General features: G+C 46.8%; 1 pseudogene; it reads right to left on the reverse strand.

Moving 5' to 3' along the window:
- Positions 1-17,310: 17,310 nt before the first annotated feature.
- On the reverse strand, positions 17,311-17,371 carry LOC124904801 (uncharacterized; annotated as a pseudogene).

Raw genomic sequence — 17,371 nt, forward strand, 5'->3', positions numbered from 1 at the left:
CTCTTACTAGCCAGCTTCACCCACCCCTGCATCCTCTTTCTTACTCGCCAGCCCCTCCCGCCTGCTCCCTCCCGCTCTCCAAACCCAACCTGCTTCCCGCGACGGGGCCAGGTGCAGCCAGGAGCCAAGGCCTGCTGCTCACAGCCGTCCCCTCCAGCCGGCCCCTTGAAGTGTCCCTAATTCGTTAGTAGCAATGAGACGTCTGGCTCTGAGCAACCATTGTTATTTTGGTCAGGCTTCTGAGTGGGAGGCCTCGTATCCGTTAACGTGTTAAAAAATTTCCATCACCTTTAAGGTCGGGCGTGGTTATCTTCATTTCACAGGAGAAAACAGGCTCCGGCTGCTAAAAATTAATGCAACCAATAGTAACACCAGCCAACTTTTATGGACGGTTTTACTGCCAGCCAGGGTGGCAACCCCATGAAGTAGGTGCTGTTATGCCCTTTACTTCACAGGTGAAAAAACTGAGACCAGCAGAGGCCAAGTGGCTTGTCTATGATCACCAGCTAGTAGGGATTTGAATCCAGCCAGCCTAGCTCCGGAATTCCTCATTTTAACCTCTAGATCAGCTCTGTCCAATAAAAATACAATTGTGGCTGGGTGCGGTGACTCATGCCCGTAATCCCAGCACTTTGGGAGGCCAAGGCAGGCGGATCGCTTGAGGTCAGAAGTTCGAGACCAGCCTGGCCAACATGGTGAAACCCCGTCTCTACTAAAAATACAAAAATTAGCTGGGCGTGGTAGCACGCGCCTGTAATCCCAGCTAATTTGGAGGCTTAGGCAGGAGAATTGCTTGAATCCGGGAGGGGGAGGTTGCAGTGAGCAGAGATTGCACCACTGCACTCCAGCCTGTGCAAAAGAGTGAGTGAGACTCCGTCTCAAAAAACAAACAGAAAAAAAAAATTGTGAAAGTTGATCATGTGAATTGGATCCTTCTTGTCATATCCAACTAAAACAAAGTTGAGAGGCCGGGGGGAAAACACTTAGGGCAGATACCATTGCTCCAAGAAAGTGATTCTCTGCAAGCCTGGCTGTTAAAACTGCCTGTTGTAACCTGGAAGCAGTCTAACTGGTACTGAAAAAACCTGCCGTGACTCTAAGACTAGTTTTTCCCTCTGCTGTCACTTACCAGTCAGAACTTGCCAGCTCCCCAGAACGTTGCTAGTGTCAATGAACTTTCTTGCAAAACAATACCTAACATTTCTGTTTCTTATAAAAACCTCTAACCTCTTTGTTCTTTGAAAGTTCTGAAGACCGCCTGGTCTGTGTGGATGCCTCGAATGTCAATTCTTGCTTCCCAAATAAAACATTTTATTATTTTTTTGAGACAGAGTCTCGCTCTGTCGCCCAGGCTGGAGGGCAGTGATGCAATCTCGTCTCACTGCAACCTCCGCCTCATGGGTTCAAGCGATTCTCCTGCCTCAGCCTCCCGAGTAGCTGGGATTACAGGCGCATGCCACCATGCCCAGCTAATTTTTGTATTTTTAGTAGAGACGGGGTTTCACCATGTTGGCCAGGATGGTCTCAAACTCCCGACCTCAGGTGATCTGCCCGCCTCAGCCTCCCAAAGTGCTGGGATCGCAGGCATGAGCCACCGCAACAAAACATTTTAAATCGAGAGATTTGTCTCTATATCTCTATATTTTATTTGGCTTCGACATAACGTGAGCTGTATACATAGTTTAAGACATCAACAAACAAAACCAGACATGGATTCTTCCCCACAAAGAACTTACCTTCTAGAGGGAGAGACATGATAAACAGTTGGCATAATGAGCAAATTACGTAGTATCAGGGAAATAATTAAATATAAAACCTCCAGGCCGGGCATGATGGCTCACGCCTGTAATCCCAGAACTTTGGGAGGCTGAGGCAGGCGGATCACTTGAGGTCAGGAGTGTGAGACCAGCCTGGCCAAAATGGCGAAACTCCGTCTCTACTGAAAATACAAAAATTAGCCGGGCATGGTGGCGCATGCCTGTGATCCCAGCTACTCGGGAAGCTGAGGCATGAGAATCACTTCAACAAGGGAGGCAGAGGTTGCAGTGAGCTGAGACCTCACCACTGCACTCCAGCCTAGGCGACAGAGTGAGAAGCTGTCTTAAATAAATAAAATAAATAAAACCTCCTTTTGACCCTCTTAGAATCCTCTCCACAAATGCAGAAAAGAATTAAATGGGTCCTGGCATGGGGGCTCACACCTGTAATCCCAGCACTTTGGGAGGCCGAGGCAGGAGGATCTCTTGAGCCCAGGAGTTTGAGACCAGCGCTGGCAACACAGTGAAACCCCGTCTCTACAAAAAATTTAAAAAGTAGCTGCAAATAGTGGTGTGCACCTGTAGTCTCAGCTACTTGGGAGGCTGAGGTGGGAGGATGGCTTGAGCCTGGGAGGTTGAGGCTGCAGTGAGCTGTGATCATGCCACTGCACTTCAGCCTGGGCTACACATCGAGACCCTGTCTCAAAAAAAAAAAAAAAAAAAAAAGAAAAAGAAAAAGAAAACAAGTAAAAAAAAGAATGAAACGGTTGTATTAGTGTATACACTTCAAACTAGCCTGTAATGTGCTTCTGTCATGATGAACAGTAAACATAATAAGTGTGTGTGTGTTAAAAAGTGATTAGTGCTGTGAAAAATTAGAGCAGAGAAGGGAAATGGGGCATAACGAGGCTGGGTTGGGTGGATAGGAGAGGGAGACCCTGAATTAGGAGAGATGGATGAACTATTATGCTGGTCTAATTTCTTCTCAATATGTATATTTTCATTTTTAAAATTTTGTTTCAACTGGACACGGTGGCTCACACCTGTATCCCAACACTTTGGGAGGCCGAGGCAGGTGGATCACCTGAGGTCAAGTGTTTGAGACCAGCTTCACCAACATGGTAAAACTCCGTCCCTACTAAAAATACAAAAACCTAGGTGCAGTGGCTTATGCCTGTAATCCCAGCACTGTGGGAGGCCGAGGTGGCAGATCACGAGGCCAGGAGTTCGAGACCAGCCTGGCCAATATGGTGAAACCCCAACTCTACTAAAAATACCAAAAAAAAAAAAAAAAAAAATTAGGTGGGCATGGTGGTGCGCACTTGTAGTCCCAGCTACTCAGGAGGCTAAGGCAGAAGAATCACTTGAACCCAGGAGGCACAGGTTGCAGTGAGCTGAGATCCCACCATTGCACTCCAGCCTGGGCGACAAGAGTGAAAATTTGTCTAAAAAAAACTGTTTATATATATATATTTGAGACCAGGTCTCACTCTGTCGTAGCTCACTTTAGCCTCAAACTCCTGGAGTCAAGCCATCCTCCTGCCTTAGCCTCTGGGGTAGCTGGGACTAAAGGAGAGACAAGGTCTTGCTGTTGCCCAGGGTGGTCTCAAACTCCTGAGCTCAAGTGGTCCTCTCGCCTCCACCTCCCCAAGTGCTGGGATTATAGGCATGAGCAACTGTGCCCACTAAAACTAATATATTAGTTTTAATGTAATATATAAGCAGTGGGAATCTTGTTGATAATGAGATATGATGACTCAAGTATTTGACTTTTTTAAAAACTTTTTTCACTTTGTCATCCAGGCTGGAATGCAATGGCTTGATCTCAAACTCCTGACCTCAGGTGATCCTCCCGCCTTGGCCTCCCAAAGTGCTGGGATTACAGGCATGAACCACTGCACCTGGCCTGATTTTTTTTTTAACAGTTAAAAGGTTTAAAAAGTTTGAGTAGGTTGGCCAGGGACTGTGGCTGATGCCTGTAATCCCAGCACTTTTGGAGGCCGAGGCAGGCAGATCACTTGAGGTCAGGAGTTCGAGACCAGCCTGGCCAACGTGGTGAAACCCCATCTCTACTTAAAATAAAAAAATTAGCTGGGTGTGGTGGCACACACCTATAGTCCCAGCTACTCAGGAGGCTGAGGCAGGAGAATCGCTCAAACCTGGGAAGCGGAGGTTGGAGTAAGTTGAGATTGAGCCACTGCACTGTAACCTGGGTGACAGAGCAAGACTCCATCTCAAAAAAAAAAAAAAAAAAAAAAAAATTCCAAGTAGGTCAAAAGGGCAGATACTGAAAAGTCAGTGTCCTTTTCCAGTCCCTGGTTCTCCTCCCAAGGGCAAGACTCTTGGTGTCCACCCCAAAGACACCACACCCAGACAGGATTCACCCATCTCTCTGAGGGCTGCTACCTGAGAGACTTTATCTGCAAATAAGATGACCTTTGTTCTTAGTGCAGTTCTGCCCTTCACCCTACCTTAGCTTGTCACCACCATGGTCCAGAAGCCTCCTAGCCCCTATCTATTTCTGTATCTCAAAATGCTATTTAAGCTTCAACCATCTGGACCTTCTTTGAATCTCATACTTTGTGGGGTTTCTCTGTGTGTGCACATAATGGATTTGTGTGCCTTTTCTCTAGTTCATTTGTCTACTGTCAAGTTTATTTCAGAGACTCAAATTATCAAGCCTTCAGAGACGGTGGATGGAAAGTTTCACTTGTCCCTTCACTTGTTAAAAATTTTATAAAGTTCTTTTGAGATGAAGTCTCACTCTGTCACCCAGTTTGGAGTGCAGTGGTGTGATCCTGGCTCACTGCAGACTTGACCTCCCAGGCTCAAGCCATCCTCCCACCTCAGCCTCTCAAAGTGCTGGGATTGCAGGCATGAGTCAGGTCACTGCAGCTGTGACCTCCCAGCCTCAAGTGATCCTCCCATCTCAGCCTCTCGAATACATGGGATTATAGGCACAGCTATAGTCCCACCATGTCTGGGTAATTTTAAAATTTTTTTTGCAGAGATGGGGTCTTGCTACAATGTCCATCCAGTCTCATCTCAAACTCTTGGCCTCAAGTGATCCTCCTGCCTTGGTCTCCCAAAGTGCTGGGATTACAGGTGTGAGCCATCACACTGGCCTTGTCCCTATACTTTATAGCCAGAAAAGGGCTGAGGAAAGCAGAAACAGAGAACAAAAAAACGGATTGGCACTTTCAAAATTACCTTCCTTGTAATGGATAAAGCAGAGTTGTTCTTCAGTTCAGCAAACCAGGAAATCTCTTAATTCAGGAGGGCCAGCTGTGGGTTTTATGGAGCTGTTGCTTCAGAGACTCCACACAGAGGGGGAAATGTTCTAGAGATATACCAAACCCCCTGGGGATTCCAAATCATCAGGCCCACATTTGTAACAAACTCCCAGAAGATGCCAAAGCCTATGCTCCCAGGACGAAGCATTGAGTAGCTGAATCTTACAGGAATCAAGCCAAACATCCCTTGCATGTTGATACACATTTTTTTTTTTTTGAGATGGAGTCTCGTTCTGTTGCCCAGGCTGGAGTGCAGTGGCACGATCTCGGCTCACTGCAACCTCCGCCTCCTGGCTTCAAGTGATTCTCCTTCCTCAGCCTCCCGAGTAGCTGGGATTGCAGGCACACGCCACCAGGCTCTGCTAACTTAAATTTCTCTCCTTTTATTTCCCCTTTACCTTATAGTTAGGGCATTTTGGAGCTAGGTTTTATTATCTAAGTGTTTCATTTCAAGGTAAGAAATTATTTGCTATACATCGGGAGCACTGGCTCTGATGAGGTTGAGCAACACTGATGCAAAGCAAACGTGAGTGGGGGCTGCAGTCTTCTCTCTCTGCTAGGGGTGTGGGTGGGAAGCTGGGGAAAGTCCTGCTGGTCCAGTTTGCAGAAGTAGAAATGTCATGGACCTCCGGGAACAGAGAAGTGGGCTGCACGACTAATTCCAAGGGTGTTAGAGGTTCCACCAATGCGGCTTTCTGGACTACAGCTCTCCCTGGAGGCCATTGTTAACAGGATTAGAGTGAGGTAGGAGGCGGGACTCGACTCCAGAGGCGTGGCTTGGACACCAGATCAGACTGAGGACTTGGTAGAACAGGGCGGTGGAGGACAGCAGGAGGGTGGGAAGCAGTTTTATTTATTTATGTATTTATTTATTTATTTGAGATGGAGTCTCGCTCTGTTGCCGGGCTGGAGTTGGTCGGCTCACTGCAACCTCCGCCTCCCAGGTTCAAGCGATTTTCCTACCTCAGCCCCTCGAGTAGCTGGGACTACAGTCATGTGCCACCACGCTCGGCTAATTTTTTGTGTTTTTAGTAGAGACTGGGTTTCACCGTGTTAGCCAGGATGGTCTCCATCTCCTGACCTCGCAATTCGCCCGCCTCAGCCTCCCAAAGTTATGGGATTACAGGCGCGAGCCACGGCGCCCGGCCAGCTTTCTATTATTATTATTATTATTATTATTATTATTATTATTATTATTATTAAGACAGAGTCTTGCTCTGTCGGCCAGGCTGGAGTGCAGTGGTACAAGCTCAGCTCACTCCAACCTCTGCCTCCCAGGTGCAAGCGATTCTCCTGCCTCAGCCTCCCGAGTAGCTGGGATTACAGGCGCACCCCACCACACCTGCCTAATTTTGTATTTTTAGTAGAGACGGGGTTTCACCATGTTGGCCAGGCTGGTCTCGAACTCCAGACCTCAGGTGATCCACTCACCTGGGCCTCCCAAAGTGCTGGGATTACAGGTGTGAGCCACTGCGCTCAGCCGGAAACGGCTTTCTATGAGACAGGCCCACCAGTGTGCCATGTCAATTTACTATCGCCATGGCAACACCACGAGTTACTGCCCCTTTCCACAGCAATGACCCAATGATTACTCCTCCTTCCCTAGAAATTTCTGCATGAAACGCCCCTTAATCTGCATGCAAAATTAAAAGTGGGTATAAATATGACTGTGGAACTGCCCTGGGCTGCTACTGCCTGCCTATGAATAGCCCTGCTCTGCAGTAGCGACCACCGAGCTGTGACACTGCCACTTCAATAAAGCTGTTTCTTCTACCTCTGGATTGCCCTTGAATTCTTTCCTGGGTAGGCCGGGCGTAGTGGCTCATGCCTTATTCCCAGCACTTTGGGAGGCTGAAGGGGAGGTGGATCATTTGAGGTCAGGAGTTTGAGACCAGCCTGGCCAACATGGCGAAACCCCATCTCTACTAAACATACAAAAATTAGCCAGGCATGGTGGTGCACACCTGTAGTCCCAGCTACTCAGGAGGCTGAGACAGGAGAATCGCTTGAACCCAGGAGATGGAGGTTACAGTAAGCCGAGATGGCGTCACACTGCACTCCAGCCTGGTTGACAGAGCAAGACTCCATCTCAAAAAAAAAAAAGAAAAAGAAAACCTTGACAAATAGAGCCAGGGAACGCCATAAAGACAGAGTTCTCATGTTTATACGCCTGATAACAAAAATGATTACAAAAGACTCTACAGAAACCATAAACTTGCCCAAAGGGCATTACAACTTTACACAAAAAATGGTTCTACAAAGCCCTCCGTGGAAGAGCTGCCTGTCTGACCTCGAACGGGCATCACCCTCGATTTTGATCTTTGTAGTCAAGGATAATTATTTCAAAACAATTATGTACTCCTCATTTTTTCTTGTAAGAGCCTTTGTCTTCCTTTACCTTCCTGAATCTGCACATAGTTCACTATGGCATGCAGATTCTCATTGCAGTGCTGTATTCCCAAACAAACATCTTTTCTCTCTTTTTTTTTGAGATGGAATCTGGCTCTGTTGCCCAGGCTGGAGTGCAGTGGCGCAATCTCGGCTCACTGCAACCTTTGCCTCCCCAGTTCAAGTGATTCTCCTGCCTTGGCCTCCTGAGTGGCTGGGATTACAGGCGCCCACCACCACACCCAACTATTTTTTTTTGTATTTTTAGTAGAGATGGGATTTCACCATGTTGATCAGGCTAGTCTTGAACTCCTGACCTCAGGTGATCCGCCCACCTCAGCCTCCCAAAGTGCTGGGATTACAGGTGTGAGCCAACGTGCCTGGTGCAAACATCTCTTCTTTTATAGAACCTCTCTCTGTTTGTTAATTAGGTTCACACTGCAGCCTCAATCTCCCTGGGCTCAGGTGATCCTCCAGCTGAGCCTCCCAAGTACCTGGAACTATAGGTGTGCACCACCATGCCTAGCTAAGTTTTTTATTTTTTGCAGAGACAAAGTTTTGCTATGTTGCCCAGGCTGGTCTTGAACTCCTGGGCTCAAGTGTTCTGTCTGCTTTGGCCTTCTAAATTGCTAGGATATAGGCATGAGTCACTGTGCCCAGCTAGCTTCTTTTTCTCTTCTTCTTCTTTTTCTTGTGATGGAGACTCGCTCTGTCTCCCAGGCTGGAGTTCAGTGGCATGATCTCAGCTCACTACAACCTCTACCTCCTGGGTTCAAGAGATTTTCCTGCCTCAGCCTCCCAAGTAGCTGGGATTATAGGCACCCACCACCGTGCTGGGCTAATTTTCGTATTTTTAGTAGAGATGCGGTTTCACCATGTTGGCCAGAGTGGTCTCAAACTCCTGACCTCAAGTGACCCACTCACCTCAGCCTCCCAAAGTGCTGGGATTACAGGCATGAGCCACCATGCCCAGCTCCAGCTGGCTTCTTATAATTATAAAAACTAAATATTTTGGAGTCTATTAATACACGAAAATTATGGGAAAACATGTTTGTAAAGTTATTAAATGATTTTCGTTTATAAAATACTCATATGTGACAGGCAATGCAATATTTCTTGCTTCCCAGGTTTTCACTAAAATTTAAGGTTACTGTATTAGTCCGTTCTCAAGTTGCTATGAATAAATACCCAAGACTGGATAATTTATAAAGGAAAGAGGTTTAATTGACTCACAGTTCTTCAGCATGGCTGGGCAGGCCTCAAGAAACTTACAATCATGGCAAAAGGGGAATCAACATGCCCCTCTTCACAGGGCAGCAGGAGAGAGAAGTGCTGAGCAAAAGGGGAAAAGCCCCTTATAAAACCATCAGGTCTTGGCCAGGCGTGGTGGCTCATGGCTGTAATCCCAGCACTTTGGGAGGCCGAGGCAGGCAGATCACTTGAGGTCAGGAGTTCGAGACCAACCTGGCCAACATGGTGAAACCCTGTCCCTATTAAAAATACAAAAATGAGCCAGGCATGGTGGGACACACCTGTAATCCCAGCTACTTGGGAGGCTGAGGCAGGAGAATTGCTTGAACCCAGGAGACAGAGGTTGCAGTGAGCCAAGACTTTGCCATTGCACTACAGCCTGGGTAACAGGTGATAGAGCCAGACTCCTCCAAAAACAACAGCAACAACAACAAAAGGTGAAAGCATTTGCTTTTTCTCCTCACTTGATTCCTCCAAAATCTGGAAACTCTTCGTGAGTATTCTTATTTTTATTTACATAAGTTCAGAAAAAGTCTGCCCTTTCTTTATAAGCAAGATATAATAGAAAACACTGGCTATATCACCAAGGCTTTGACTGAAGTGTCATATTTTATTTTAATTAATTAATTAATTAATTTATTTATTGAGACCAAGTTTCACTCTGTTGCCCAGGCTGGAGTGCAGTGGCACGATCTCAGCTCACTGCAACCTCTGCCTCCCAGGTTCAAGTGATTGTCCTGCCTTAGCCTCCCGAGTGCTGGGATCACTGGTGTGCACCACCATGCCCAGCTAATTTTTTTTTTTTTTTGTATTTTTAGTAGAGACAGGGTTTCACCATGTTGGCCAGGCTGGTCTCGAGCTCCTGACCTCAGATGATCCACTCACCTTGGCCTCCCAGAGTGCTGTGGTTACAGGTGTGAGCCACCATGCCTGGCCTGAAGTATTATATTTTAAAATATACATAAATGCCTGGCTTCAAGAGTTCCCAGTCTTACAATGAATGAGTAAAAATGGCCCCTTTCTGGCAGGCCCAAGAACCTTAAGAACCTGTTGGTAAAATCTAAAGTCTGCCTTGGTTTGGCTTCTGAGCCTCAAGAGGTTTCTAAATCTGAGATTCCTATATGATAAATGTGGAGAGAAAAAGTTACATTTCTAAAGAAAAACTATAATATACCTATTAATAGATTGCAGCCCTGTGCACTGTTTTTAAGTTCTTGTTATCTACCTATAGACTGGACGAGTTCCTGAATTCTCCTGACTTCCTCCAATATATTGCTACAACTCTCTGACTAAAAGCAACGGCTGGATGGGCGAGGTGGCTCACGCCTGTAATCCCAGCGTTTTGGGAGGCCGAGGTGGGCAGATCACTTGATATTGGGAGTTCGAGACCAGCCTGGCCAACACAGTGAAACCCCATCTCTAATAAAAATACAAAAATTACCCAGGCTTGGTGGCATGTACCTGTAGACCCAGCTATTCGGGAGGCTGAGACACGAGAACTGCTTGAACCTGGAAGGTGGAGGTTGCAGTGAGCTGAGATTGCGCTGCTGCACTCCAGCCTGGGTAACAGAAAAAATTCTGTCTAAATAAATAAATAAATAAAGTAAAAGCTGCTCTGTTTCCAAAGCCCTATACGCTGAAATGAGACCAATTTTAAGGAACAAACTTTGTGCCCAATGTATGGGCCACACAAAAGCTCACCAAACTGTCTGACATCATGACCAAAGACACACAAAGTGAAAATCAGAAGTTGATGTTTTCACACTGCAGACAGCTTTTCCCAAGACATTTGGAAGAAGACTAACTCATAATAAGATTTGTACCCCCTCAATGCTATCTTTTTCATTTGGCAGGATAATGATGTAGTTGAAATTTCATGACCAATAGCTTCCATTGGCAACTTAACAAAACCTAACTTAAGAAATCCTTTAGTATCCATTGGTTAACTAAGACATGTCTGCGCTATTGCTAATACTACATGCTGTACCTGTAGTACAGGCCAGTTCTTCCGGGAAAAGTTGAGATCCATATACATAAAAGAAGAAAACAGATCACTTGGTTACAGTTGGTCTCACCTAATTTCCTAAGGCCTTTTGATTCATTCAATTCATTCTGTAAGCCTATGAAGTTGTCTGAAAGCATTATGAAGAGTGGAATTTTCATATTACTACTAATTTTACTTTGTATTTCTCCATTTTAAAACCCTGTATGTGTAATTCGAGCACTTTGTGGGGCTGAGGTGGGAAGATTGCCTGAGGCCAGGAGTTCGAGACCAGCTTAAGCGACACAGCCAGGCCCCATCGCTAGAAAGAAAAAAGAAAATTAGCTAGGTATAGTGGCATGGGCCTGTAGTCCTGGCTACCTGGCAGGTGAGCAGGAGGATCACTTGGGCCCAGGAGTTGGATGCTGCAGTGAGCTAGGATCATACCACTGCACTCCAGCTTGGGCAACAAAGCAAGATCCTGTGTCTAAAAAACAAAACACAAAACCAAACAAAACAACTTTGTATGTTGTTAAATTTTTGCATTAAGTACAACTCCTAACAAAATAATGTTGGCCTAACATTTTGAGATGTTAATAAAAGACTACAGAACAGATAAAACTGAACTTAATAACGGACACCATGAAAACTTAGTCTGAGAGCCACTCCCGTCACACTTCCCTTGTTGTTCAAATATGTTGTTTTTTTCAGTTCCTTCTCAGGCTTTAGATTAAAAGGGTTTTGAGGCTGGGCGCAGTGGCTCATGTCTGTAATCCCAGCACTTTGGGAGGCCGAAGCGGGCGGACCGCTTGAGGTCAGGAGTTCGAGACCAGCCTGGCCAACATGGTGAAACCCCATCTCTACTAAAATTGCAAAAATTAGCCAGGTGTGGTGATGTGCTCCTGTAATCCCAGCTACACAAGGCTGAGGCAGGAGCATCGCTTGAACCTGGGTGATGGAGGTTGCAGTGAGCCAAGATTACGCGACTGTACTCCAGCCTGGGCGACAGAGTGAGTGAGACTGTCTCAAAAAAAGAAAAAAAAAAAAAGGAGAGGGGTTGATAGGGTTTTGATACTGACTTCTAGACACCAGTCACTCCCCCACAATATGCATTGAGATCAGCAATTGGGACAGGTACATCACAGCATCAAGATACATCAAAACCCAAATACAGGATGATCAATCAGTGATGCTTTTGGAGAAAGATCTTAATCAAAAAGGGGAAAGGTGAAAGTTGTCAGAGTCACTATGGAGTCACTAATATTAAGAAAACCCTGAAAAACAGAGCTGGGGAAGGCCATGAAGAGAGGGTTCTCACACTTGTGTGGCTGATTATAAAACTATCACAAAAGACTGCAAAAACCACAACCTTGGCCAGGCACAGAGGCTCACATCTGTAATGCCAGCACTTTGGGAGGCTGAGGAGGGAAGATTGCTTGAGGCCAGGAGTTTGAGACCAGCCTGAGCAAAATAGCAAGACCCCCTGTCTACAAAAAAATATAAAAATCAGCCAGGCATGGTGGCATGTGCCTGTAGTCTCAGCTAGAGGCGAGAGGATTGCTTGAGCCCAGAAGGTTGAGGCTGCTGTGAGCCAAGATCATGCTACTGCACTCCTGCCTGGGCAAAAGAGCAAGACTCTGTCTCAAAACACAAAACAAAAAGCACATAAAACAATGCTATACAGTGTAATAATTTTGGAACAACAATATGTAGAAAAAGGAGAAAATAACCCAATGTATATCATTTATGGGAGAGGAGAGTCTTCCCAGCAAGGCTGAGCTGACCTTTGAAGCAAGAACAGATGAGGCAGAAGGAAATAAGGACTTTTGAAGTCATTAGTTCTGCCCATCAAATATTTCCAGCTGGCAGCAGGATGCGGTGGTGTGTGCCTGTAATTCCAGGTACTTGGGAGGCTGAGGCAAGGGGATCACTTGAGCCTGTGAGTTCGAGACCAGCCTCAGTAACATAGCAAGACCCCATTAAAAAAAAAAAAAAAGGAAAAAAGAAATCAGAAGTAGAAAGTCAGGTGCAGTGGCTCACTCCTGCAATCCCTGCACTTTGGGAGGCCAAAGCGGGTAGATCACCTAAGGTCAGGAGTTTGAGACCAGCCTGGCCAACACGGTGAGACCCCGTCTCTACTAAAATACAAAACTTAGCCAGGTGTGGTGGCAGGCGCCTGTAATCCCAGCTACTTGGGAGGCTGAGGCAGGAGAATCGCTTGAACCCAGGAGGCAGAGGTTGCAGTGAGCCTAGATCATGCCATTGCACTCCAGCCCGGGTGACAAGAGCGAGACTCCATCTCAAAAAAAAAAAAAAAAATTTCTTCCTGAATTAAACGTGGGCTGTCACCTTTATTCCCATAGCCAGGCAATGATTTCCTGACATGGCCCGTAACTGTCCTCACGTGGCAGCCCCACACAGAAGCTAGTTAAAATGAAACCATGGCCCTGCGAGGAAGTGCCATCCTCCCTCACATTCCACAAGCATTTGCTGAGCACCAGCTTTTTGCCAGGCTTTGGGTTAGGCACTGGGGACACAACAGTGAAAGAGAGGGGTAAAATGTCTGCTATCCAGGAACTGATGTTCTATAGCATAAAACAGGCAGTAAGGAAGGATGTAAATAAGTAGAACCTACAAGGGTGGTAAGTGCTATGGAGGCAGAAAGCAAACTAAGCCAGGGAGGTGGTAGGAAGAGGGGGAGGGAGTTGTAAGTTTCAGGCAGGGCACCCAGGGAAGGCCTCTCTGAGAAGCTGACGTTTGAGCTGAGATCTGGCGGGGATAAAGGATTAAGCCAGACTGAGGTAGGAGACCAGCAGGACTTGTTTTCTGGTCACAATCTTGCTGACCAAAACAGGATCTGGTCCAGACGGGATGAAGTAAAGAAACTGGCAGGAACCAGCCGACCCCTAGGCAGCAATCCCTAGCTGCTCTCATTGTCTATTAGCATAAGACACTCCCACCAGAGCATGACAGTTTACAAATGCCATGGCAACGACCTGGAAGTTACCGCCCCTTTTCTACCAGGAAGTTATCTCCCATTTCACACAGTTCTAAATGACCCACCCTCTCAATTTGCATTAACCCACCCCCTAATTTGCATGTAACTGAAAGTGGGTAGAAGTGAGTGTAAATAGTTGCCAACAGCTCATATGTTGTCTACTCTGGGTGCACTGCCTATGAGCCGGTTCTGTTCTGCAAGGAGCAGCACTGTTCTATGAAAGATTGTTGTCAAACACCACGGGCTCATCCTTGAATTCCTTCCTGGGTGAAGACAAGAACCCTCCCAGGCTAAGCCCCAATTTTGATGCTTTCCTGTCCAGCATCAAGATCACTATCTGGGGAAGGAGTGCTCTTAGAATAGAGAACAGCAAGTGCAAAGCCCATGAGGCAGGAGCAAGGGACAAGAAGGCCATGGGGCTAGAGCCAAGGGGAGATTGGTAGGAAATGCACTTTGAGAGGTGATGGGGGCAGACTGTGGGGGCTTTGTGGTCTGTGGTAGGAACTTACTTTTCCTCTGAGTGAGATGCAGCCATGGGAGGGTTTGAAGTAGGGATGTTATCTGATTCAGGCATTGTGATATTGTGATTTACAATAAGATATATGTACAATTGGCTGGGCGTGGTGGCTCGGTGGGAGGCCGAGGCAGAAGGATCGCTTGAGGTCAGGAGTTCAAGACCAGCCTGGCCAACATCGTAAAACTCCGTCTCTACTAAAAATACAAAAATTAGCTGGACATGGTGGTGTGCACCTGTAGTCCCAGCTACTCGAGAGGCTGAGGCAGGCGAATTGCTTGAACCTGGGAGGTGGAGGTTTCAGTGAGCTGAGATCATGCCTCTGCACTCCAGCCTGGGTGACAGAGCTAGACTCCATCTCAAGAAAAAAAAAAAAAAAAAGAAACATCCTTATCATATCTTGCTGGACAAAAGTCCAAGGAACACCATGATGATATCCTACTGGAACAAGGGCCAGAACTGCCTTATCATGGGAGCGTCTTATCAATATCCTGCTGGGCAGCAAGCCATACTGCCCAGACCCCTCCCACCCATACCTATAAATTGCCCCAGCCTGTAAGCAGTGATGGGCTCTGGCATTAGGCTGGTCCCCCACTTCTGTAAGTTTTATGCTGGACATAAAGCCTGTATTTGATGTCCAGCCCCCCCTTCTTTCTGTGTATCTTTCTTTAACCCTCACCATCGCTTCAAAACCTAACAAAGACGGGTTCTCACTATTTTGCCGAGGCTGGTCTTGAACTCCTGAGCTCAGCCGATCCTCCTGCCTTGGCCTCCCAAAGTGCTAGGATTACAGCAGTGAGCCACAGCACCTGGCCTGAAATTTTTTTAATTAATTAATTATTTTGTAGAGCCACGATCTTGCTATGTTGCCCAGGCTGGTCTCAAACTCCTGACCTCAAGTGAGCCGCCCGTCTTGGCCTTCCTAAGTGCTGGGATTACAGGCATGAGCCACCACACCCAGTGAGTGTCAGAACTGAACTGAATGAGAAAACACCCAAGTGGTGTCTGCTGTCAAATTGCTTGGTGTGGGACAGAAAACCCCCCTATACACCCAGAGTCCCTGAAGTATTCTGTGTTGTGAGAATACAGCAGGAGAAACTGGATTTGTTTTTCTTGTGTGGGGGGACAGGAGGAAGTAAGGAACAGAGAAAGAAGGATGCTGCTCAGAGACAGGTGAGACAGGAGGGTGGACCAGCCCAGGACCGGGGCATAGGAGCCAGGAGAAGTGGCTAATTCTGGATAGATTTGAGGGTGCCCACAGGATTTGCTGAAGAATTGGGCATGGGATGCTGGGCCACACAGAACACGTTCAGGATATCAGGCGATGTTTTTTGTGAAGTCCTTGTCTATAGAAACAGTTTGATTGAAAGATGTGGCCAGGTGTGGTGACTCACGCCTGTAATCCCAGCACTTTGGGAGGATGAGGTGGGAGGATCCTTTCAGGTCAGGAGCTTGAGACCAGCCTGGGCAACATGTAGAGAGCCCATCTCTATTTTTTTAAAAAAGGGAAAAAGCAATTTAATTTCTTTTTTCTTTTTTGACTAGAGACAGGGTTTAGCCATGTTGCCCAGGCTAGTCTGGAACTTCTGGGCTCCAGGGATCTGCCCACCTTGGCTTCCCAAAGTGCTGGGATTACCAGCACCCTAAAAAAAGGAAAATTTTAAAAAAAGAAAAATTTGTTACAAAATTCATGGACCTAAGTGAGGTATAGTGATTTATCAGTGATAGAGAATAATGCACAGAGAAGAGGTACTTAGGTATTTGCTTTTTGTTGAACCCACCACCGTGAAATCCACCAAAGCGTCCAGGTACCATCTCCTCATGTCCCTTTTTTGTCATCCTGTGTCATTTTGGGCTAATTTAATATCCCTCAGCATGCAAAAGAGGCAGCATTGCTGTTACACTCAACATCCTTGCTTCTGCTGATCTTTTTTTTTTTTTGAGACAGAGTCTTGCTCTGTCGCCCGGCTGGAGTGCAGTGGTGTGATCTTGGCTCACTGCAACCTCCGCCTCCTGGGTTCAAGTGATTCTCCTGCCTCAGCCTCCCAAGTAGCTGGGACTATAGGCATGCGCCACCATGCCCGCTAATTTTGGTATTTTTAGTAGAGACGGGGTTTCACCATGTTGACCAGGATGGTCTCGAACTCCTGACCTCAGGTGATCTGTCCACCTCAGCCTCCCAAAGTGCTGGGATTACAGGTATGAGCCACCGCGCCTGGCCACCTCTGCTGATCTCTATGGCTATCTGTTTAACACTGGTCACATCGTTCCTCATGACACTGCCCCAGGAGGCTGCTTCATCTGTTGTGACATCCATGAATACCGGCTTCTGGTGACTTCGTCAGAGGTTTTCTTGGGCTGAGTGGATGACAAACACAAATGCCAATGCCAATCTTTATTCTTCTTGTCAGACAGTAATGTGCTGATGTCATAAGAAGGCTTAAAAGGGAGGCGCATTGTATTACTCCGTTTTCACGCTGCTGATAAAGACACACCTGAGACTGGGTAATTTATAAAGAAAAAGAGGTTTAATGGACTGACAGTTCCAAGTGTCTGGGGAGGCCTCACAATCATGGTGGAAGGCAAAGAGCACGTCTTATATGGCAGCAGAGAAGAGAGAGAATAAGAACCAAGTGAAAGGGGAGAAACCCTTACAAAACCATCAGATCCGCCGGGCACGGTGGCTCACGCCTGTAATCCCAGCACTTTGGGAGGCCGAGGCGGGCGGATCACGAGGTCAGAAGATCGAGATCATCCTGGCAAACACAGTGAAACCCCGTCTCTACTAAAAATACAAAAAAATTAGCTGGGCGTGGTGGTAGGCGCCTGTAGTCCCAGCTGCTAGGGAGGCTGAGGCAGGAGAATGGCGTGAACCCGGGAGGCAGAGCTTGCAGTGAGCTGAGATCGCGCCACTGCACTCCAGCCTGGGTGAAAGAGCGAGACTCCATCTCAAAAAAAAAAAAAAAACCCATCAGATCTCGTGAAACTTATGCACTACCAAGAGAACAGTATGGGAGAAACCGCCTCGATGATTCCATCATCTCCCACTGGGTCCCTCCCACAACACATGGGAATCATGGGAGCTACAATTCAAGATGAGATTTGGGTGGGGACACAGCCAAACCATTTCACGCATCTCACTTAAGAGCATGAAAACCCAATCATCAAGTTTACGAACTACAAAAGGAT

Source organism: Homo sapiens, chromosome 19 (genome assembly GCF_000001405.40).
Source record: "Homo sapiens chromosome 19, GRCh38.p14 Primary Assembly".
Taxonomy (NCBI): domain Eukaryota; kingdom Metazoa; phylum Chordata; class Mammalia; order Primates; family Hominidae; genus Homo; species Homo sapiens.